The following is a 23,153-nucleotide window of genomic DNA, read 5'->3' as shown; positions in this document are numbered from 1 at the left end:
AGCACCTACCTTGGGCATCCTTGGAGAAACTGCCAGTGCCAGGCTTGTATCTGGATGTGGAACTCCGGGTAGCATCTCTCCTCTCTCCATAGATGTCCAACCTGCCGTCTTTGCCACTTCTCCTGCTACCAAGGTGACCAGGGGGCTCCCGGCTCTGATCTTCATTCAGCATCTCCTCCAGGCACCCCCAGTTCTCTCCCATAGGCTGCCACCCCATGCTTCCAGCCTCGTCTGCTCCCCTTCTCTTTCCTCCTCCAACCTCAGCCCCTGACTGTGCCTGAGACCTGCTCCTGAGTGAGCCAGGCCTCCTGCCTGACCTCCCAGCCTCTTCCACTCCCTGCCCTTCATCCTCCTTTAGGGCCCCAGGACCCTGGACCTCACCATTCTCAGCCTCCAGGGACCCCTGCTCCCCGAGGGACCTCTTTCCTCCTCTCTGTCCCTTGCCTCGCTGAGAGCTCAGGTCCTGGGTCCCTCCTGACCTATCTCTAGAGGCTTTTCTGCCAAAGGGACCATCTAAGCCATTCCAGGCTCCCTGAGGTCCGGACTCCCCAGGTTTTGGGGTGAGGGCATTCCCCCACTCAGTAGAATTCCCCTTGCCCAGGATACCTGAGTCCTCTGCATCAACAGAACTGCCCCTTCCAGGACTTGAACCTTTGCTATCCAGGGACCATGGGCTTCGGCATCCACCAGCCGCCTCTTGGCCTGGTGCACCCTCCCCACCCTTAAAGCCCCCTGGCCCTTCATGGGTCCCACCAAAAGCGGCATCTTTCTCCTGCAGAGAACCGGAAGCTCTGGAGCCTGCGGGCTGCTTCCCAGCATCTATGCTGCCTTGGCTAAACCCCTGGTTTTCCCAATCAGGAGCCCAAGCATTGCTCGTCCCTTGTCTATCAGCAGGCCCTGATGTTGACTTGCCCCTTCCCCCAGGCATAGAGCCGCTGTCCAGATCCTGACCTGTCCCCACTGAACTCCCTGAGCCTACCCTTCTGCCTCCCAAAAGTGAGTCCCCACCTCCCTGAGATGCCAACCCCCCCTGGCCAGCAACTCTACCCCTGTCTGTCATTCCTGGGCCTGCTTTCCAGATGTCCCGTTCATATCCAGACCCTAGAGCAGCCATTCCTGCCCAGGTCTCACCTTCCACTGCCCCCTTGCCATCAAGAAACCCAGAAGCCCCCATTATCCCTGCTTGGTCTGGAGACCTATCCTTCACCCTGGGAGCCCCTCTGTCTCTAGAAGACCCTGGAGTCCCAGAACTGTCTTGCCATTCTTTGACATCTGGTTTTCCCTTGGCACCAGCAGCCTCCGAGGCCTCAGGGATCCCTGAAGTTCCATAGCCCCCAAGATCTTTGGTGGAGCCTCGCTCATCTGAAAGAGTCTGTCGCCCTCCCTGAGACCCCAGCACCCCTGTGCCCCTGAGGCTGTCTCTGTGTGCCATGCCACCTGCAGTGCCTGGCATTCCAGCCATCCCAGGTTCCACCCCAGGTCCTGCCCCATCCACAAGCCTGGTTTCCCTGGCTCGCTCTGGACCATCCTTGGAGTTCGTGTCACCCTCTGATGCTACCCAATATCCTGACCTGTGACCCATGGCTTTATGGCCTCTGGGTCCAGCCTCATGTCCTATTCCAGCCAGTGAGCCTGGTACTCCAAGCCTCCCTGAACCATCTCCATAACCCATCTTACCCTCTGGTCCCGTTTCCCCAGATCCTCCTGAGCCTCCTCTATAACTGACCTCACTCCCTGACCCCATGCCACTAGTTCCCCCAAAGCCTTGCCTAGAACCTGCCTCATTCCATGACAAAATGTACCCAGAATCCTCCAAACTACCCCTAGAACCTGCCTCGCTCCCTAATGGATTCCTCCCAGAACCCCCTAAAACATTCTTATAACCTGCCTCATCCCCTGAACTGATTTTTCCAGAACTGCCTAAACCATTCCTGTAATCTGTGTAACTGCCTGAACCCATTTCCTCAGGAGCTCCCAAATCCTTCCTATAATCTGCCTCATCCATTGACCCCATTTCCCCAGAACTCCCTAAACCATCCCTGAAACCTGCCTTACTCCCTGAACCCATTCCCTTAGGAGCCCCCAAATCCTTCCTATAACCTGCCTTATTCACTGACCCCATTTCTTCAGAACCCCCTAAACCATCCCTGAAACCTGCCTTACTCCCTGAACCCATTCCCTCAGGAGCTCCCAAATCCTTCCTATAACCTGCCTCATCCATTGACCCCATTTCCCCAGAACTCCCTAAACCATCCCTAAAACCTGCCTTACTCTCTGAACCCATTCCCTTAGGAGCCCCCAAATCCTTCCTATAACCTGCCTCATTCACTGACCCCATTTCTGTAGAACTCCCTAAACCATCCCTAAAACCTGCCTTACTTCCTGAACCTATTCCCTCAGGAGCCCCCAAATCCTTCCTATAACCTGCCTCATCCATTGACTCCATTTCTTCAGAACCCCCTAAACCATCCCTGAAACCTGTCTTACTCCCTGAACCCATTCCCTTAGGAGCCCCTAAATCCTTCCTATAACCTGCCTCATTCACTGACCCCATTTCTACAGAACTCCCTAAACCATCCCTAAAACCTGCCTTACTTCCTGAACCTATTCTCTCAGGAGCCCCCAAATCCTTCCTATAACCTGCCTCATCCATTGACCGCATTTCTTCAGAACCCCCTAAACCATCCCTGAAACCTGCCTTACTCCCTGAACCTATTCCCTCAGGAGCCCCCAAATCCTTCCTATAACCTGCCTCATCCATTGACCCCATTTCCTCAGAACCCCCTAAACCATCCCTGAAACCTTCCTTACTCCCTGAACCCATTCCCTTAGGAGCCCCCAAATCCTTCCTATAACCTGCCTTATTCACTGACCCCATTTCTTCAGAACCCCCTAAACCATCCCTGAAACCTTCCTTACTCCCTGAACCCATTCCCTCAGGAGCCCCCAAATCCTTCCTATAACCTGCCTCATTCACTGACCCCATTTCTACAGAACTCCCTAAACCATCCCTAAAACCTGCCTTACTTCCTGAACCTATTCCCTCAGGAGCCCACAAATCCTTCCTATAACCTGCCTCATCCATTGACCCCATTTCCCCAGAACTCCCTAAAGCATCCCTAAAATCTGCCTTGCTCCCTGAACCTATTCCCTTAGGAGCACCCAAATCCTTCCTATAACCTGCTTCATTCACTGACCCCATTTCTCCAGAACCCCCTAAACCATCCCTGAAACCTGCCTTACTCCCTGAACCCATTCCCTCAGGAGCCCCCAAATCCTTCCTATAACCTGCCTCATTCACTGACCCCATTTCTACAGAACTCCCTAAACCATCCCTAAAACCTGCCTTACTTCCTGAACCTATTCCCTCAGGAGCCCACAAATCCTTCCTATAACCTGCCTCATCCATTGACCCCATTTCCCCAGAACTCCCTAAAGCATCCCTAAAATCTGCCTTGCTCCCTGAACCTATTCCCTTAGGAGCACCCAAATCCTTCCTATAACCTGCTTCATTCACTGACCCCATTTCTCCAGAACCCCCTAAACCATCCCTGAAACCTGCCTTACTCCCTGAACCCATTCCCTCAGGAGCCCCCAAATCCTTCCTATAACCTGCCTCATTCACTGACCCCATTTCTACAGAACTCCCTAAACCATCCCTAAAACCTGCCTTACTCCCTGAACCTATTCCCTCAGGAGCCCCCAAATTCTTCCTATAACCTGCCTCATCCATTGACCCCATTTCCCCAGAACTCCCTAAACCATCCCTAAAACCTGCCTTGCTCCCTGAACCTATTCCCTTAGGAGCCCCCAAATCCTTCCTATAACCTGCCTTATTCACTGACCCCATTTCTTCAGAACCCCCTAAACCATCCCTAAAACCTGCCTTACTTCCTGAACCTATTCCCTCAGGAACCCCCAAGTCCTTCCTATAACCTGCTTCATTCACTGACCCCATTTCTCCAGAACCTCCTAAACCATCCCTAAAACTTGCCTTACTCCCTGAACCCATTCCCTTAGGAGCCCCCAAATCCTTCCTATAACCTGCCTTATTCACTGACCCCATTTCTTCAGAACCTCCTAAACCATCCGTAAAACCTGCCTTACTCCCTGAACCTATTGCCTCAGAAGCCCCCAAATCCTTCCTATAGCCTGCCTTATCCACAGACCCCATTTCCCCAGAACCTAAGCCACCCCTATAACCTGCTTTGCTCCCTGAACCCCCTCCCTCAGAAACCCCCAAATCTTTCCTATAGCCTGCCTCAATTAACCCCATTTCCCCAGAACCCCTTAAACCACCCCTGTAACCTGCCTTGCTCCCTGAATCCATTCTCTCAGGAGCTCCCAAATTTTTCCTATAACCTGCCTCATCCATTGACCTCATTTCTCCAGAACCCCTTAAGCCATCCCTATAACCTGCCTTGCTCCCTGTGCCCATTCCCTCAGGAGCCCCCAAATCCTCCCTATAACCTGACCCCATTTCCCCATAACCTCCAATCCCATTCCTATGACCTGACTCATCCAGTGACCCCATCTCCCCAGGACCCCTTAAACCAGCCCTGTAACCTGCACCCATTCCCTCAGGAACCCCCAAATCTTTCCTATTATCTGTTTCATCCATTGACCCGATTTCCCTGGAACCCTTTAAACCACCGCTATAATCTGCCTTGCTCCCTGAACCCGCTTCCCTGGAATCCTGTAAACCACCCCTATAATCTGCCTTGCTCCCTGAACTTATTCCCTCAGGAGCCCCTAAATCTTTCCTATAACCTGCTTCATCCATTGACCCCATTGCCCCAGAACCCCCTACACCATCCCTATAATCTGCCTTGCTCCCCGAACCCATATTCTCAGGAGCCCCCAAATCTTTCTTATAACCTTCCTTATCCACTGACCCCATTTCCCCAGAACTCCCAATACCCTTCCTACAACCTGGCCCATCTGCTGATCCCATTCCTTGGAGGCCTCCTGAACCATCTCTAAAGCCTGCCTCACCCCCTGGCCCTGTACTCCTAGGCCCAAGGCCCCTTGACCTTTCTCCATAGGCTGTTCTGACCCCAGTTCCCTGAGGCCCTGGAAGTTCTGATCCATCCTCATAACCCAGCACATTGCCAGCCCCATAAGCCCACTGGCTCCCAGAAGCGGCCCCATTGTGAGGTGCGAGTGACTCAGGGTGCCTGGTATCATCCCTATAACCAGCTCCAGCTCCAGAGGCCTTAGCACCAGGGCATCTTGTCCCATCCCCCTCACCCACTTTGCTTCCTGCCCTCAGAGACCCTGGTCCCATGGCTCCTGGACCCCCAGAGCCATCTTCATAGCCTCCTTCTCCAAAGGCCCCCAGGGCCTCTGAGGCTCTGAAGCCCCCATAATTTCCAGTCTGACCCCAAGGCCTTATTCTTCCAGAGCTCTCTGGTTCTGCTTCCACACATCCCATCCCAACAGTCTCCACTACTCCAGGGGCCTTGAGACCACCTCTACCCGCAGACCCTGTCACCCCAGGACTCCCTAGGCCACCATCTGAATGGTGCCCTCCCCTAGGGTCCATGCCTGCCTGGCATGCAGAGGCCCAATTCCTGGTGTCATTCATGGGTGCTCCATCAGGACCACCTGAGCCATTTTTAAGACTGGCAACTCTCCCAGACCCTCCTCCTGCAGGGCCAGAATCTTCATTTCCAGACCACACTCCCCCAGGCGCTCCGGAGCCATGCCTGTACCCACCCCCTTCCTCAGACTCCACTCCCGCAGGTGCCCTAGGGGAAACTCTACAACCAGCACCATGGCCGGACCCCATTTCTCCTGGAACCCCTGAGCCATAGCTATAACCAGCCCCGCTTTTAGAGCTTATTTCCCTAGAATATCCTAAGCCACCCTCGTACCTAGATTCCATTCTCCCGGGACCTTCCAAGCCATCCTTATAGCCTGTCTCACCTCTGGGTCCTTTTACTCTGGAGCTCCCTGACCCATTCCAGAAATCTGGTTCAGACCCTATTGACCCAGGACCTCTTAATCCTTTCTTATCTCCTAGTGTCCCCCCAGATCCCTGAGCACCCAGGCCTGGAGCCCTACTTAGCCAGTGGCTTCTGGCATCCACCCCCTGACCAGACTCCGTCAGTCCAGCCACCCAGATACCACCCATACCCTCTTGTCCTCCACTGGGCCCCAGCACTCCAGGCCCATGGTGGGCCCCAGTTTTTCTGAGGCTAGATGGTGTGTCATCCCAAGGACTTGTGCCCTTAGATTCTATTCTGCCAATACCCCCTGCTGCTCTGTGACCTGCTGTCCAGCCCTGGGAAGACTGGAAGCTTCTGGGGTCATACTCTACCTCACCCGAGGCCCAAGCTGTTTCCTGGCCATCCCTTCCCCTGAGCTCCTGTAGGACACCTTCGCAGCCTCTGGGGTCTCCTGGGCCTCCAGGGCCAGTTTTGTAGGCACTTCCTGTAACTACAGACTCCCCCCGGCATATACCATCTGCCTCCTGCAGTGAGTCTTCAGCTTTGATCTCAGGACTCCCATCTCCCAGAAGGAATTTTCTACCACCTGATATTGATGGTTCCTGGAAGTCCTTGCCTCCAGGTATCTGTTCTAGCAACTCTCCTGACCCCCAGTAGCCCCTGGCTTCCCCATAGTCAGCATCTCTACCTCCCTGAGAACCCCAGGATTCAGGGGCCATGCCCACCTTGGAGCCAGAACCTCTTCCTCCAGTAAGCTCCAGGGTGCCAGGACCTCCTGCCCCATTGCTGTCTCCAGCTTCTCCCAGGCCAGTCCCACCACCCCACACTACTATTCCTCTCCCCCTTTCCCTACTTGGAGCATCCCCTCTGTCCATCTCAGCCAGGCTGTCATCCTGTGAAATCTCTATCTGCTTTCCTCTTGGCCAGGACCCTACAGGATCAGACTGGCATCCCTGCAGGTCGCTCTTTCCTCTCCCAGGTCCCAGTCGAGCATCCCACAGTTGCTCTGGGGCATGCCTGTCCAGTTGTCTTCCACTGTCCCCTCTGTGCTCCTTTCCTTCCCTGCTGCTCCCCAGTCCTCCAGCCTGAAGCCGACTGGACCCAGCCTCCCAGCCTCCTGCTTTCCTCCAGCATTCATCACTGTTGCTGTCTCTGCCACGATCTTGCTGTTGTTTTTCTGGGAGGCCCAACCCTGATTCTGAGCTCTCTCCCTGTAGATGGGGCCTCTCTGCAAGGCTTCTGGCCCAGCCTCCCTCTCTGTGGGATTGATTTTCCCTGGGAAGAGTGGCTCTGCTTCCCTCTGCTACTGGAAAGCCCTCGCCCTCCTGTCCAGGGCCCCAGGCTGAGTCAGCTGTCCCTTTGTCCCCCATCAAGGAGTAGCCATGTCTGCCAAGGCCATCCCTGTCTGGGCTGGCTATGTGCTGGAGCCCAGAAGCCGGCCCAGCCCCTTCAAGGGAGCCCCCCCTGGGGCCCTGCTCTCTGGATTTCTCTCCCTGGCTCTCGATGCTCCCAGACTCTTCTGCTCCTGATGCCTGGGCTCCTTGCCTCTGCAGTTTGTGGTCAGCACTTGTGGACTGAAGGTCTTTATCCTTCCCAGCTTCAGTGAGGGGTTATTCATATGGAAGGTCAGTGCCCACATGGAGAGACAAGAGAAAATACCAAAACTCCTGTTAAATCCGGCCAAAGCACCTGCCTGAGCCCAGCTGCTTGCCTGACCTGGACTTCCCCAGGAGAGAAGCAAGGTGACCACCTGGGAAGGAAGCCAGGGTGTTCCAGGGATGGATGGGTGAATCCCATCACCACCTCCCTAGTCCTATACCCGCAGGCCACCCTGCTATAGGCTTCATGAGGGTTTTGGAGAAAACGCATAAGCCAAAAGTCATTTGTTTATCAAACTGCCGCAGCAGGTGCATGGTTTTTAAAATATCGACTTGCTCAACCACCTGCCTTACTTATGTCCAATTTACACTTTCCTGGGAACATCTGGAACGCAAATTTCTATCCCCAGGGAAGTTTGAGAGTGCTCTCTGGTCTGGTGCAGGGGCTTCTCATCCAGACTGAACCTGGGCCACTGTCCCAAGGCTGCCTAGGACCCTAGAGCCATCTGTGCCCCAAAGTAATTCCAAGAGACCCAGTAGAGCAGGCACAGCTGAGAAGGGTTGGGTTGGCCATGAAGGTCTGCACTGCAGTGGGTGGAGAATAATCTAAGGAGCTTTCCTTATTCTCTCTGACCAAAGGAAATCCCACTGCCTCGCCTTCCTCATGCCTCCGCAGCCCCAAGGTCTTCCCTGGAGGCAGAGAAAGACAGAGTTTTGAAGCACTCACCTTCAACCACCAGCCAGGCGCTGGAAGTGTAGAGCCCGGTGCCCAGCGAATAGGGGCCCATGTCTGAGAAACGTGCCCCCCTCACCACCAGCCGGTGGGTCAGCCCGTCAGGGGACACATACACTTCATATTTGTCACTGGGGTGGAGTAGCCGGTGCCGGAAATGCCAGGCTGCACTAGGGCAGGGGCTGGAGAGGGTACATTCAAAGACTGCGTCACCCTGCTCCTCACAGTGGGTCTCCGCCAGTGGGACCACCACTCTTGGGGGGATGGCTGCCGGGGAAATAGGAATGGGGATATCAGCTTGATGGTATGACACAGTGTGACCTAAGGCAGCAAGGCTGGCCATTCAGAAATCCTGGCTTAGACCAGCTCAGCCACAAACTCCCCATGTTACCTTGGACAGGTCACCTCTGGACCTCAGGTGTCAATTCCCCCCAAGTAAAATGAGGGGCTACAGTTATGAGCAATGAGGCTTATTTTCAGCTCTGGGATTCTATACTTCCAAACCCAAAAGTTATATTTAGGGACAAGGTGGATGCATGAAGGAAACCACTATGCTAAGAGCCGGTAGTTTATCTTATTCATCCTTGTGACCATCTCCAAGATAAGTATTATTAATTTCTTTTTACAGGTGAGAAAACTAAGGCTTAAAAAGTTAAATAACTTGCCCCAGTCTTACGCAGTTAAGAGAAACCAAGATTCACACCCAGGTCTGGCTGACTCCCAAACCCATACTTCTTTTCCCAAACTGCACTGTTTTCAGGCTTTCCAAAGCCCCATCTGGGCACCTCCCCCGTGCTGGGGCACATAACCCCCTTTTTTCTCCCCCAACTTTGATTCAGCCATGTTCTTACGACATGTCTGTCCAAAGCTCCCTTCCCCAGGCCTCTCGTTGTCCTTTCAAGAACCCCCTTGAGCTGGCAGGTGCTCTGAGAGTGATGTGGACACAGGTACTCATGGGGATGGGACAGAGTTTGATGAAGGAGGAGTGTCAGTTCCTAGATGGGGAAGGAATACAGGAAGCAGAAAAGGAAAGGTCTGTATGGAGCGTGAGGATGCCTAACCCAGAGATTCTTGCTAGGGTGTTGTGGGAGATGAGGACATGCAACAGAAAGGAGTTCTAGAGGCTGTGCAATTAGTCTGGATCTGATCTGAAAATAATTGATGGCTAGAGAAGGTCTAAGCAGAGGCATGACACATATGTTCTATGTCTGTGACAGTAATTCAGTAGAACCCAGCTCAGCACCAGGAGAGATAACTCGCACCAAGGCTTTGGAAAACAGAAAGCATCAAAATTTGGCCATCTAGGTATGTGTCCCTCTCCCAATTGTCTTTTGCAGCTGGGGCCACATCACATTTACCCCCCAACACACACGTTGCACCAACATGGACTCCATTTCTAACATATCTCCCCAACTCCAACTTCGGCAGTGTAGACCACTCACCACTGGCCTCCAGTTCTGTGGAGAAGACCACAGCATCCTCCACCTTGACCTGGTAAATGCCAGAGTCCTCAGGCCTCAGGTCTTGAATCTGGAACTCATAGCGCTTCCCCAGCCGGCGCAGACAGTGCTTGGTTTGGTTGTTGAAGCCATAGGGGATCATCTCACCATCCTAAGGCCAGAAAAGGAAGAGGAGGCGGGCCTCAGTGGGTCCTCAGTGCTTCCTGCCCCAGTCCCATTCTGGCTATAACCAGCAGTTTTCTCCCACGGGCCCAGTCGCCAGACAACAGATTCCTGGAACCATAGAGGAGCTGGGATGGGGTGGACAGCAGGGCCTGGAGAACATGGGAACAGGGATTGTGAGCTGGATGGGAATCCATGCTCTAGGAATGTCCATGGAGTGAAAAGTCTGCAAGTGTTATACAAAGGGGCACCTGAAGTTGCTGACATTCCAGCTCAGGCTGTGAGTAGAGTTACTCTCCAGCAGCCCTGCGAGGATAGCAGGGGAGGCCGGACACAACACCCATGGCCCAGAGGCCCCAGCTCAACTTATTCACCAACAGGAACTTGCAGAGAATAACATCAGATATCCATAAGGCTCTATGAAACCCAGTAATCTATATGCATACCTGCTTTAACTAAGCCCTAGATAGGTTTGCTACTTGCTGAATATTAACAATAGCTAATACTTATTAGGGGCCCACTGTGTGCCAGGCACTGTTTCAGGTACTTAGGACACATCAATGCATAAAACAAAGATTCCTGCTCTCACTAGCTAAAATCCTATGGGGGAAAAATATAAATAATAGATGTCATAAATAAGTAAATAATTTATGTTAGAAAAAAATAGAACTGGCCGGGTGTGATGGCTCATGCATGTAATCCCAGCACTTTGGGAGCCTGAGGCGGGTGAATCACTTGAGGCCAAGAGTTCAAGACCAGCTGGCCAACATGGTGAAACCCTGTCTGTACTGAAAATACAAAAAATTAGCTGGGTGTGGTGGCAAACACCTGTAATCCCAGCTACTCGGGAGGCTGAGGCAGGAGAATCACTTGAACCTGGGAGGGAGAGGTTGCAGTGAGCCGAGATTGCACCACTGCACTCCAGGCTGAGCAACAGAATGAGAAGAAAGGAAGGAAGGAAGGAAGGAAGGAAGGGAGGGAGGGAGGGAGGGAGGGAGGGAGGGAGGGAGGAAGAAAGAAAGAAAAAGAAAGAAAGGGAAAGAAAGAGAGAAAACTAGGGAACAAAAAGGTAGATATGGGTCCAGGGCTCCTGAGTGCCAGGGTGGGGCTGGAGGGACATAGTGGAATCACACGGAGTGGCCAAGGGAAGTCTCTCTGCCATGAAGGAATTAGCCCTGTCGATATCGGGGATGAGCATGCCAAGCAGAGGGAACACCTGGGCAAAGGAACAGGGACAAGGCCAGTGGGCCAGGAACTGAGGGACAAGGGGAAGAGAAGCAGGAATAAGCAGAGAGGTGAGGGGAGGGGCAAGTCACACATGATGTCATTTAGCGCTGCAGTACACCATGAGACAGGTCCTATATTATCCCCAGTTCACAAGTGAGGAAGCCGAGGCATGGGGAAGATAAGTATCTTGTCTGAGGTCATACAGCTTATAAGTGATGAAGCTGGATGAGTTTGGCTACAGAACTAGCCAAATTTTACCAACTGCTCCCCACCTGCCTCTGCCCCCATCTGGTTGGCAGATAATTACTCCTAGAGCCCAGGTAGGGATGTATGAAGTCTCTGGAGAGAAAGCTCAGATGGAAAGGGGTGCACTTTCTCAGAACCCTCTTTTCACCCCCGTGCTCTGGTGTTAGACACAATTTACAGAGAATCACAGGCCCAGCTGGAGAGCCCAGTTGCTCAGTGTGAGATAAGAAGTCCCTGTGGATGGATGGTCTACACCAGGGTTTGGTCCAGGTCCAGCCAGGAACTCCATGGGATGAGGGGCTCACCACTTGTGTGCTCTGGTTGTTCCCTTGGAGGAATGCAGGGTACCCATAGTTCCCTCTCCACTAGACCTGAAGCATCCCTGCCAGATCCCCCCCACCCATAGCCCCTCCAGCCTCACCTTATACAGGTAAATCTTGCTCTGAGAATCCTTGAGATCCAGCTCCAAGTCAAACTTTGCATTCCCATCCTTGGTGACCCTGATGTGTCTTAAGCTGGAGATGGTGTTGATGTACTACAAAGCAGACAAACACCCAGCAGGAGAGCTCATGAAGCTCTCTCTTCGGGGTACTCTGAACCCTCATAGGCTCTGGTACCATCCCAGGCCCACAGCGTTCCAGATGAGCATGCATTGGCCCCTTTTACAAGTGGGGGAAAGTAAGCCCCTCAAGGAAGGAAATTCTCCAAGATGAGAGATCAGATCAGGAAGACAACCAAGAAAAGACCCCAGGTGTTCAGTTGCTAGAACACAGTGGGGCTTTTCCATCTATCTGTACTTCTAACGAACATTAGTTGAACACCTACCGTGTGCAAAGCTCTGTGCTAGGTCCCGTGTTAAAGCCAATGAGAAAGCTTGGAGGAGAGAAGGCTGAGACCCTAGGTGTTAGGTTTAAGGAAGCTTATCTTTCAAGGGGATAAGATACTATTTTCAGGATAATAAAAACTAGTTGTTTTCCATTTTCAGAAGAAAAATTAGACTTATGCTATAGTTAAGTTAGACACAGGAAAGAAATTCCTGTACAGCTGATAAGATTCTGGGATCAGAGTGCTAATGGGAACTGTGAAATTCCCTTCCATGAAAGCCTTTAGAAGTAAACCAGGTAGCCAGGTGCGGTGGCTCACGCCTGTAATCCCAGCACTTTGGGAGGCCGAGGCAGGCGGATCACGAGGTCAGGAGATCGAGATCATCCTGGCTAACACGGTGAAACCCCGTCTCTACTAAAAATACAAAAAGTTAGCTGGGTGTGGTGGCAGGCACCTGTAGTCCCAGCTACTCAGGAGGCTGAGGCAGGAGAATGGCGTGAACCTGGGAGGCGGAGCTTGCAGTGAGCCAAGATCCGGCCACAGCACTCCAGCCTGGGCGAAAGAGCAAGACTCCATCTTAAAAAAAAAAAAAAAAAGAAAGAAATAAACCAGGTACCTCCCCCCCGCAATCTGGTGACAATGATAATGATAGCAAAAATCAAGGCACTAAGCTAAGTACTTTAATTACATTCTCTCATTTATCCTCCCAATAACCCTACAAGGTAGGCATGACTATAATTCCCATTTTACAGATGAAGACACCAAGATACAGAGGCCCTAACCCTTCCAAAGCTCCAGAGTTTAGTAAGTATCAGAACCAGGTTGCAAAGGCAGGACACCAACCTGGGATCCCAGGGCCTTAGCCAGATACCCCACTGGGGACTAGATGGAGACAGGCCCCTTGATCATACTTGGTTTCCTAAGTTCTGCCTCCAAGCCCACCTCCAGGTGTGAGGCACCTATGGTCCAGGTGTGTGGGGTGGGCATGGAGTGAGGGGTGGGAATGGGGTGAGGCACCTGTGCCATCTTGTCCTCCTGTTCCTTCTTCATCTCCTGCAGCCTGCGCAACATGCCACGGTAGTCGACGATGCCATACTTCAAGCAGATCTTCTCGTAGTCCTTCCTGTCTGCTGTCATCAGCAGCTGCCATATCTGCTCAAGGTCCATCTTTTTCTTGGGGGCTGGTGGGGCCCTGGGGAGCAAGGCTAGCAGGTCAGAGGCCAGAGGAATCCCTGCTCCTCTGTTGGCCACCTGGCTCTGGTGTCCCAAGTAGTTCTGGGAAGCTGCTCTATCTGCACTCGAGGAAACGCAGAGCCTGGAATCTCTGGGACTGACCACTGTTGAGGCCAGAAGGATTCAGAGATGGGTGGGGCGAGCCTCAGCCTCACCCCACAACTTTCAGGAGAAATGCTCCTGACAACTTGTATTGTAGATTTCTAAGTAGGATGTCTGGGGAAAGTGGGTGTTGCATTGTTCTGTTGCTTAAAAAAAAAAAGTACATCATTGTTCTGGTGGACCACCACATTTTGCAAATGAGGAAATCAGAGGAGAGATGATTAACTCAAGGATATAGAGCTTTGAAATGGCAGAGCTGGAGCTCTGTCCCATTCCCATCCAGTTCAGTCCCCTTCCCATCCTCCCATCTGCTACTGGCAGTCTAGCTCCCTGCTGTGTTGGGTAGAGGTGGGGCTCAAGCCCAGCTTACTTATGGAAATAGCAGGGGGTGAATACTATGGGAGCCTCCAAAATCCCTCATGGACAGGCCCAAACCCACCTCTTTTTCAGCAACTTCCGGAAGTCCATCAGCTCCTTCCTGAGGTCTGAAAAAGGAGCAGGAATGAGGCCTCAGTCCCAGGTGGGATGACTGAGGGTTGATGCAGAGCTTTTCTGTGTTGTCCATGCTGACAACTGAGCCTTTGGAAGGGGCTCTCTTGAAGACTGGTGGTGATCCACAAGGTGTTCATGGTAGCTCAACCAGGCAGGGAACACCAGGAAAGGAGTAGCCTATCCCCCACAGGCCCCCAAGGAGGTTTCTGACAAATCTGCCTACCTTCCTGCGGTTCCCTGTGCCTCTTCCGATTCTTCCGAAAGCCAACTGCAACATCCAGGGAGGAGAGGAAGGAGTCGATGTGGACAAGCAGGGAGAGAAGCAAGACATGTTGATGGTCTTCCTGAGAAACTGATGGAGTCCCAGAGCCCTGCTCTCCCCACTGTCCTCTAAGGCGTGGACGATCCCAGCAAGAGGGATGGAGCAGGGTGGAGGGTCTGTCCATCATAAGCCTTTTTACCCTAGAGCCTTACCATGACCAAGGGGACCAACCTAAGCATCATCTCATGCAGGGGAGGCCCAGTCATGTGTCCGCAGGGGCCAGGGAGGTGGCATAAATGCGTGAAGCAGACACTGGCAACCACAACAAACTCAAGAGTATCTAAAGGGGCAGCTGCTCTTTCACTCCACCTGGGAGCTGCCATTTCAGGGTATAGGCCCAATATTGCCAAATAGGTCAGACATTGCTGTTTGGCTAATCCTGCAGCCATTTGTATTCTTCATCATCTGCTTCCACTAGAGAGGCTGAAAAAGCTAAACACTCACCTTCCCCAGCTTCCCTTGCAACTAGCAGTGCTCATGTGACACTGTCCTGACCAATGAGCTCCAGGAATTTCTGAGAAAGCCTTTGCTTCCTCTATAAAAAGGGTGGATGGACTGGTCGTGATGGTTCATGCCTGTAATCCCAGCATTTTGGGAGGCCGAGGGGGGAGGATAGCTTGAGCCCAGGAGTTCCAGACCAGCCTGGGCAACACAGGGAGACCCCGCCTCTACAAAAAAAATAAAAAAATTAGCTGGGTGTGATGACACATGCATGTAGTCCCAGCTACTTGGGAGGCTGAGGTGGGAGGATCACTTGGGCCTGGGAGGTCAAGGCTGCAGTGAGCCATAATCACACCACTGCACTCCAGCCTGGGCAACAGGTCTCAAAAAATAGAAAATAAAAGGCCAAGCACAGTGGCTCATGCCTGTAATCCCAGCACTTTGGGAGGCCGAGGCAGGTGGATCACCTGAGGTCAGGAGTTCGAGACCAGCCTGGCCAACGTGGTGAAACCCTGTCTCAACTAAAAATACAAAAATTAGCCAGGCATGGTGGTAAACGCGTGTAATCCCAGCTACTCAGGAGGCTGAGGCAGGAGAATTGCTTGAACCCGGGAGGCAGATGTTGCAGTGAGGTGAGATTGTGCCACTGTACTCCAGCCTACGCGATGGAGCAAGACTCCAGTCCATCTCAAAAATATAAAAATAAAAATAAGAGAGGCAGATGGACCTGGGCCACCTCTTCCACCTTCCTACCTTGAACATGGATTATGTTTGAATCTGCCACAGCCCTCTTATGGCCATGAGGTGATAAGCCAATCTGCTAAGGATGGCAGAGCAGTGGGAACGAAGGAATCAGCTCTCCGATGGCAGCCCTGAGCTGTGGTATGAGCCCTGGACGCCACTCGCAAAACTTCTTATGTGAAGGAATGAAATATCGTTATTTCTTAGGCTGCTCTTAGTAGGATTTTCTGTTAGTTGCAGGCAGATCAATTGTAAGCATAACCAATGGCGAGACTAGACCTGCTTCCTCAAGAGATATCTACCTTTTAATTACTACAGGTTGACAATTTTTAAAATTTCAAACACCACGCACACCAAAAAAAACATGTCTGAGAGAGAATTTGGCCTTTGTGTGACCTGTTTGTCAACTCTGGCATAGGCCTGTCCAAAATATCCTTTGCATGGTGGAGAAACTGAGACCCAGAGAGGAAAACGAAGCCCATTGAATGAGTTAGCAGAAGCTCTAGGACTAGAAGCCAGCTTTCAGGTCCTGCTCATTTACTGGGCCAAGAGAATATCCTTCAGAGTATCTGCCAAGGTGTGCCTTTTTAAACACATGCAGACTCAGTGTGCATGTGGATGAAGCCCGGGGCCCAGCACAAGGTGGGGCTGCAGCAGCGGCAGCAGCCTGGATGGGCCTCCCTTCCCTCCCCTCCCCTCCCTCACTAGCCACGGGGCATCTGATTCCTCTGTGGGTCTCTGCCCTGTGCACTGATGAGACAAACTCAGGGAAAAGCCCACCTTCGATGACAGTGAGTCTCACTGAGCAAGCGGCCTCTCCGTACGCATTTACTGCTGTGCAGCGGTACAGATCCGTGTCCTCGCCTGTCAGCTTGTTGATCTGCAGAGAGGCCAAGGGCAGAGGAACAGGGCTACCACATCCCCTTCCTCCATTTACTAGACACGGCTATGTGTTGGGGGTATAAAGTGAGTAAGACATGGTCCTTGTCCTCATGGAGCTCACAGTCTTTATCAGGAAAGACAGACCCCAAAACAGAAACCTGGTTTGGGACAGAGGGTGGATGTATCAATTCTTTGCCATCAGAGGCAATGTAGCGAAGTAGAAAGAGTGTGCTTTTTGGGGTCAGATGGATCTGGGCCTGAAAACAGTCTCTGTCCTGTATTACTAGCTGTGGGACCTTGGGCAAGTTACCTAACTTCTCTCAACTTCAGTTTCTTCATTTGTAAGATGGGAATATAATACCTCAAAAAAGTGGTGAATAATTAGAATTAAATATATAATCTATGTCAAATATTTAGCCCCTGGGACATAGTAGGGCCTGGCACATAGTAGGTATCCCATGGTTAGTATTTATAATATTGCTCAGATTAGCCAAGATTGATTGAGTACTCACTATAGGCCAGGCACTAGCTAGACACTTTACATAAAACTTTCATCCTCATAACAACTCCTGGCCAGGCGCAGTGGCTCATGTCTGTAATCCCAGCACTTTGGGATGCCGAGGCGGATGGATCATTGTTGGTCAGGAGTTCAAGACTAGCCTGGCCAACATGGTGAAACCCCAACTCTACTAAAAATACAAAAATTAGTCGGGCGTGATGGCGCATGCCTGTAATCTCAGCTACTTGGGAGGCTGAAGCAGGAGAATCGCTTGAACCTGGGAGGTGGAGGTTGCAGAGAACCAAGATCACGCCATTGCACTCCAGCCTGGGCGACAGAGTGAGATCCATCTCAACAACAACTCATAACAACTCCTTAAAGTAGGTACTATTATTATCCCATTTTTACAAATGAGGAGACAGAGGTAAAAAGAGTAAAATGACTTTCTAAAGCCAAGGTGGTGGGCCTGGGATTGTAACTCCAGCAGTCTGACTTCAGAGCTTGAGCTCTTAAGCTCCAGTCTACACCACCTCCCAGGTTATCAGCAGAGGTATCTGCAAGCCTGCCAGATCCATTCTTGGCTCAGGCAACTTTGAGTCACGAGATGGAGTTGAATGGATTCAACCTCAACGAGGAGTATGTCTTACTCCTCTAGGGATTGGAGGCTGCCAAAGAGACCTTCAAGGGGATGGGAAAAGACGAGTAGACCCTGGTCAGGGGAAGAGCTACGGTTCTTACCTGCAGCACGTGCTCCTTGCTGCCAGGGCTGGAGGAGATCTTGTACTTGCTGGAATCACTGAGGTCACCTTTGGAGTTCTGCCAACGCACCTCGGGCCTGGGCTCCCCACAGACCACAGCCCGAAAGACAGCATTTTTCCCTGCAGCAGGAAGAGACGAGTAGGGAGACTGACAAGTTGGGAGAGGGTGACTGTATACTTTATTTAAATTTTAATTTATATCGTCTTCCTCATCTAGGTATTTCAACTGCCCCTTCCAAAAAGGATGCCAGGCCTTGGTCCCCTTGACTCAGGACTCAGAATACGCAGGTGGAAAGCAGCAGATTCCAGGCACCCAGAAGGCAGTGCTTCCTCTTTCTATATTGCAGAAGCTTGGGCTGCTTGAGGGAAAGAGACAGGTGGACTGGCCCTGGTGAAAGGGGAGGCCAGCAGGGCTTTAGGGGACAGGGGCTTTTCTTTGAGAGTGGGTGAGCAAGGAGTCTGAAGGCTCTGCCAAGACTAGGAAGGGAATGAGATTTTGTGAGTTCCGGGCAGGCGCAGGGGCTCACGCATGTAATCCCAGCACTTTGGGAGGCCAAGGCAGTCGTATCACCTGAGATCAGGAGTTCGAGACCAGCCTGGCCAACATGGTGAAACCCCATCTCTATTAAAAATACAAAAAGTAGCCAGGCTTGGTGGCATGTGCCTGTAATCCCAGCTACTTGGGAGGCTGAGGCAGGAGAATCACTTGAACCCCAGAGGCAGATGTTGTAGTGATCAGAGATTGCGCCACTGCACTCCAGCCTGGGCAACAGAGCGAGACTCCATCTCAAAAAAAGAAAAAAAAAAAAGAAGAGATTTTCTGGCTTCCCTTCCTACTCTCTAGGGGGAGGAGGAATCACAACTAGGAGAAGGAGTGACTATTTGGTGCCCGAAGGATCCGGTGCTGAGACACAGGCTTCAGCCTCAGAAAAGACCCCATGCTCCATGCCTGTCATGGAGGCCTGGGAACTGCCCGCCCTCAAGGAATCCCTCAGCCTCCCACCAGGAACATCTCAGTAGACAGCAATATAGACCAAAGGCCCAAGGGCCCTTCCCAATTTCTCATTACCTTGTTCCAGATTTAGAAAAATAAAATACCATTCTTTTTCTTATTACCAGGATGCTATGAACTAAAATTTATTGCAGGGTGTGTGTTGGGGAAAGAACACCAATTCCCACTTTTTCCCCAATAAGCCTTTGTTCCCACCACTTTCTTGGACACCTTCTTATGTGGCCTTCTAGAAGGGCCTTCCTGAGCCCAGCCTGTGAGCCACAGCAGGTGCTGCTGCCTGGAGGCGAGGATTGGGAAGAGTCAAATTAACTGTTTTAACAGTGCCTCTCTGCAGCAGTGGCTTTGAGGTGAGGAGACAGGGACCAGGAAACACCACAACCTCTCCCTGCTCCCCAGTTTAGCATTTTTCCATCCCTGCCCCCCAGATATTTCTCACACCAGAATAGCATGGTGTCTCTTCACTCTCTTTATCCACTCTTTTCCCCAGGCCTCTTGTCACTTCTAGGGTTCCAGGTAAGCACATACCCCCTCAAGGATAGGAGGGAGATGGGCTATGGCCTAGTGATGGATATAGGGCCTGGGTCCCCAGGAAGGTTGGTGCCCCAGCCCTCTCCCCTGGGAGGTAGGAGAGCAAGAATCTTGCCTCCCCTCCGCAGCTCCCCTCTGGGCTCACCCTCTGGCAGAGCCGAGGTGACGGGCTTCTGCTCAAAGTCCGGCGTGCTGCAGCCTTCAGGGATCTCCTCCACCAGCTGCCAGATGCTCACTCCAGGGATGTGGGACTTCCGGAGCTTTCCTGGAGAATGCAGGAGGGAAGGAGATGGGGCCTTCCACCTTCTTCCTCCTGGGTGGCCCTTCAACAGAATGGGCATCCACCCACTCACCCCAGGAGCAAGAAGCCCCTTCTCGCTCCTACTTTTGGGTCAGGATTATTTGTAGTACCTCCTGCCTGTGCACAGTGCTTTTGAATTCTCTAGTGGGAATCTGGTGGCACACACTCTGGCAGTGTGAATGGAGCCTCTAGGAAGTGGGTGGGGCACCCTAGGAAGACCCTGAGTGTGTCACTGGGGAAAAGCTGGGAAGAAAGAGTGAGAAAGGGCTCCTTCTCAGGAAGCCAAGAAGCAGGAGCTCGTGTGGGGGCTTTGCACTCCTTACTCAGGAAAACAAATCAAAACCCAAAGCCAAGACTCAAAAAAAAAGCCAAGCACGGTGGCTTACGCCAGTAATCCCAGCACTTTCGGAGGCCGAGGTGGGCAGATCACCTGAGGTCAGGCATTCGAGACCAGCCTGACCAACATGGTGAAACCCCACCTTTACTAAAAATACAAAAATTAGCCAGGCATGGTGGCAGGCACCTGTAATCCTAGCTACTCAGGAGGCTGAGGTGGGAGAATCACTTGAACCTGGGAGGTGGAGGTTGCAGTGAGCTGAGATCGCGTCACTGTACTCCAGCCTGGGCAACAGAGTGAGATTCTGTCTCAAAAAAAGCCAACAACAATAAAAATAAAATAAAATAAAATAAGGAGAAAAAAAACAACAACAAGATGGGCAAGTTCCCAGAAATCTCTGATCCCTACCACTTCTCTCCTCTCTGTCCTGGTAAGGATCGCCAGGGAGGGCTGGGGAGGGGAGATTAGTTCTTCTCTTACCTGCCATAGTTCTGCCTCCTCTTTGACTCCTCTGAGGGTAGAAGTTCTATTACCCTGAGAACAGAAATGGAATTGCTTTTGAGAAATCCAGGCTGGTCTCACCCCACCCCTCCCACACCATCAGTGCATCAGCCAATGTCTGGGGTGGGAGCTGGAAAAAGCTGCTGCCCCCAAGAGCTTTTCTAACCCACTAATGGCACTGATTAGTTTCCTGCAATTCCCTGTCCCCAGCAAAACCAATTTCCCAGAGACCAGGGAGTGGGTAGCATGCTACCCAGTTGGTAACATTCCCAGGTAAAGGGAACCATAAGCTGAGCCTGCACACTGTGCTGGTGGCCTGGCCTCCTGGTGGGACCCCAGACCTGATTACCCTGCCCAGAACATGAGACACAACCCTCCCAAACCTGAGGAAATCAGACCCATTCAGGATCCTTTCAGCTGTGTAAGGATTCAGCTGTGAAAGGATTTCAGCTGTGAAAGGATTCAGGCTCCTTTCAGCTTGCCCCATTGGCTTTGGAATGGGAATTCTCCAAGGACATTCTTTGGGCCTCCTGGCTCTTCCCCCAACTCTGAGATTTTCTGGCAGGACACTGAAGCCCTCTACTTCCCACGCTCCACCAATCTAGAATCCTTCCAGTCACAAGGTCTGCAGGGGAGAGGCCTCAAATTTGCTGCTCTTAAGCTCTTCTTGGCCCAGGCCTGTAGGATCCCCATAAATCCATCTGCTCCCCTCAGAAGCCAGTGAATTATAGTGTCAGGTGAATAGGAGTATTTTCCATTCTCTCACCACCACCATCTCTCCTGATTTCCTCTTAATTGCATCCATCTGTTATGGCCAATGGGGAGTCCCACACAGGAGAGGAAGGGGGTTGGGTCTGGGGTGGGATGAGAGCCATAAATCAGGGAGGGGGGATGTCTTGAAAGAATCTTCCAGCAGTCCCACCCTCTGTGCGATTGGCCCATGGCCAAGCGGTTCCATTTTGGGGACTCCATTTTCTGCCCAAAGAGCCTTATCATTAATATAGAATCACACATGACAGAGCAAATTCCTCTCTCCCATGGAGATCATTCCATTTCGCAACGGCCACCCACTGGCACTTCTGACCCCTGGCAGCCCCTCGCCAGCCCAGCCGCTGCACCCTAGCGTGCTGGAATGCCATGGTACGCCAACTGCGTTCTGGAGTGGTCACGGGTGCCACAGGCACTACGCCGAAGGGAGTCACGAGGAAGGGTGGGAGGGAAGGCAGCCACCAACGGATGAGGACCCAGCTGGACACGGCCAGGGGGAGGGCTGCAAGGGCCCCCATCCCACCCACCCCTCAGTGCAGCCTCCTGGTAGATGCAAGTGCACTGGTGCCAGTCGGTGACCCCCACACTGGAGTAGTTTGAGTTCAACACAGCTATCTGAGTCATCATCCCCATCGTCACCCACATCATCACCACGAGCAGCTATCATCCTGTTACTCAGCTATTGGTCACACATGAAGAAGGATGACGCTGATACCACTCTTCTCCCTCCAGCCTCCTGCCTACAGCTCCCAGCAGAGGAGGGCAAAAGAAGCAAAGCTCTTGGGGGAACTTAGGGATGTGACGTTAAGCATCCACTTCTGGAGCTCCACTCTCTTTTAGAATAAGCCAGATTTGGTACAAAGTCAATGACACAGGGAAAGAGATCTGTTGGATTGGAGACTAGAGGGATGTAGTCTCAGTTGGAAGGGATGAGAAAGGAAATGAATTCTCTCCTCCATAATTCATTCCCACATTTGAGAAGAACTCCAGTTCTTCCCAGAAGGAAACAGCAGTTTGTGTCCTCACTTCAGCTGTCCCAACAACACTCTCAGCACTGGATCCTGGGACAGTCCCTCCCTGCCCCCTCTCCAGGACCTATGGCTCCCCATCCTTTTTCCCTACCCTCCCCGGATCCATCCTGCACATCCAGGTCCCTGCTACCTCCAGTTGGTCCCTGCTACCTCTCAACTGGTAGAAATTGAGGCAGGAAGAGCCAAATGGAGTTCTCTCAACTGCTTTGACCATGATACTAACCAAAATATAACAAGTCCCAGCCCGAGGTCCTTATTCTGGACTGCTAGTGATATTTTTAATCTGGTCATCGTATCACACCCAAAGTCAAGCCGTGTCCAGAAAATTAGAGCCAGGACAGAAATGCCCAGACAGGACACACTGAAATTCTCTCCTCCAGATATCCTGGAGTAACCTAGAGGGGATACAGGTGCACCCCAGCGTGTGATCCGCCAGCCAGGGAATGTTCCCCAGGCAGACATCCTGCCCACTGCCTGCCCCTTCCTGCGTAGAAAAGCTGGACAGCAGGCTAGTGTCTCCATCCTGGCCCTACCCTGGCCCGGGTGGGCAGCCAGGTGTGAGCACCCACTTACCTGGGTGTACAGCTGACCTCCCGCTTCCTGTCTGCTCCCTCTTCCCCGTTTCCAGCTGCTGCTTGCTGAGGCTCTGGATTGACTGGTAGTGGACAGGCAGGGCTGGAGCAGGTGTCGGTTGCTGCAGGCGCCTCTGCTCCCTCTGCCCCTCCCACTCACCCCGCCTCCTCCTTCTCCTCCAGTCCAGGCTTGGCAGGGCAAGGCCCCCAGGGCTAACATTCTAGCTCAGAGGAGGTCAGAGATGGAAGGGTCCTGTGACATCAGTCCATCCAACTCCTCGCTTTGCAGAGCTTTAAGCTCTTAACCAGACTGGCTTAGTGTAAATTTGCCCCATGAAGCCTCATTTATACGACCCTTTTTAGCAAGGACATTTTCATCATCCAAACCCTTAACTTTTCAGCTAAGCTGGTCCCTTGGGACCTTTGACACC

General features: G+C 52.2%; 1 protein-coding gene across 5 annotated transcripts in view; it reads right to left on the bottom strand.

The window, feature by feature from the left end:
• The window catches only part of IGFN1 (immunoglobulin like and fibronectin type III domain containing 1), a 38,129-nt gene extending 15,322 nt beyond the window's left edge, over positions 1–22,807 (bottom strand). For 3 of the 5 annotated variants that reach the window (NM_001164586.2, XM_005245580.4, XM_006711618.4), the window contains exons 1-12: positions 22,724–22,807; positions 20,331–20,384; positions 19,358–19,477; positions 17,653–17,792; positions 16,314–16,413; positions 14,253–14,297; positions 13,977–14,022; positions 13,220–13,394; positions 11,799–11,912; positions 9,725–9,893; positions 8,277–8,549; positions 10–7,548 (exon numbers count right to left, since the gene is read on the bottom strand). In NM_001164586.2, coding sequence (NP_001158058.1) covers positions 10–7,548; positions 8,277–8,549; positions 9,725–9,893; positions 11,799–11,912; positions 13,220–13,394; positions 13,977–14,022; positions 14,253–14,297; positions 16,314–16,413; positions 17,653–17,792; positions 19,358–19,477; positions 20,331–20,337 — 8,728 coding nt within the window. In that variant the 5' untranslated portion in view covers positions 20,338–20,384; positions 22,724–22,807. The remainder of the gene's footprint in view (positions 1–9; positions 7,549–8,276; positions 8,550–9,724; positions 9,894–11,798; positions 11,913–13,219; positions 13,395–13,976; positions 14,023–14,252; positions 14,298–16,313; positions 16,414–17,652; positions 17,793–19,357; positions 19,478–20,330; positions 20,385–22,723) is intronic. The other 2 variants (NM_001367841.1, XM_017002787.2) reach the window with 2 other exon arrangements.
• Positions 22,808–23,153: the final 346 nt, after the last annotated feature.

Source organism: Homo sapiens, chromosome 1, assembly GCF_000001405.40.
Source record: "Homo sapiens chromosome 1, GRCh38.p14 Primary Assembly".
Taxonomy (NCBI): domain Eukaryota; kingdom Metazoa; phylum Chordata; class Mammalia; order Primates; family Hominidae; genus Homo; species Homo sapiens.
Note: the sequence above shows the minus strand (reverse complement) of the source record. Positions and strands in the feature narration are given on the sequence as shown.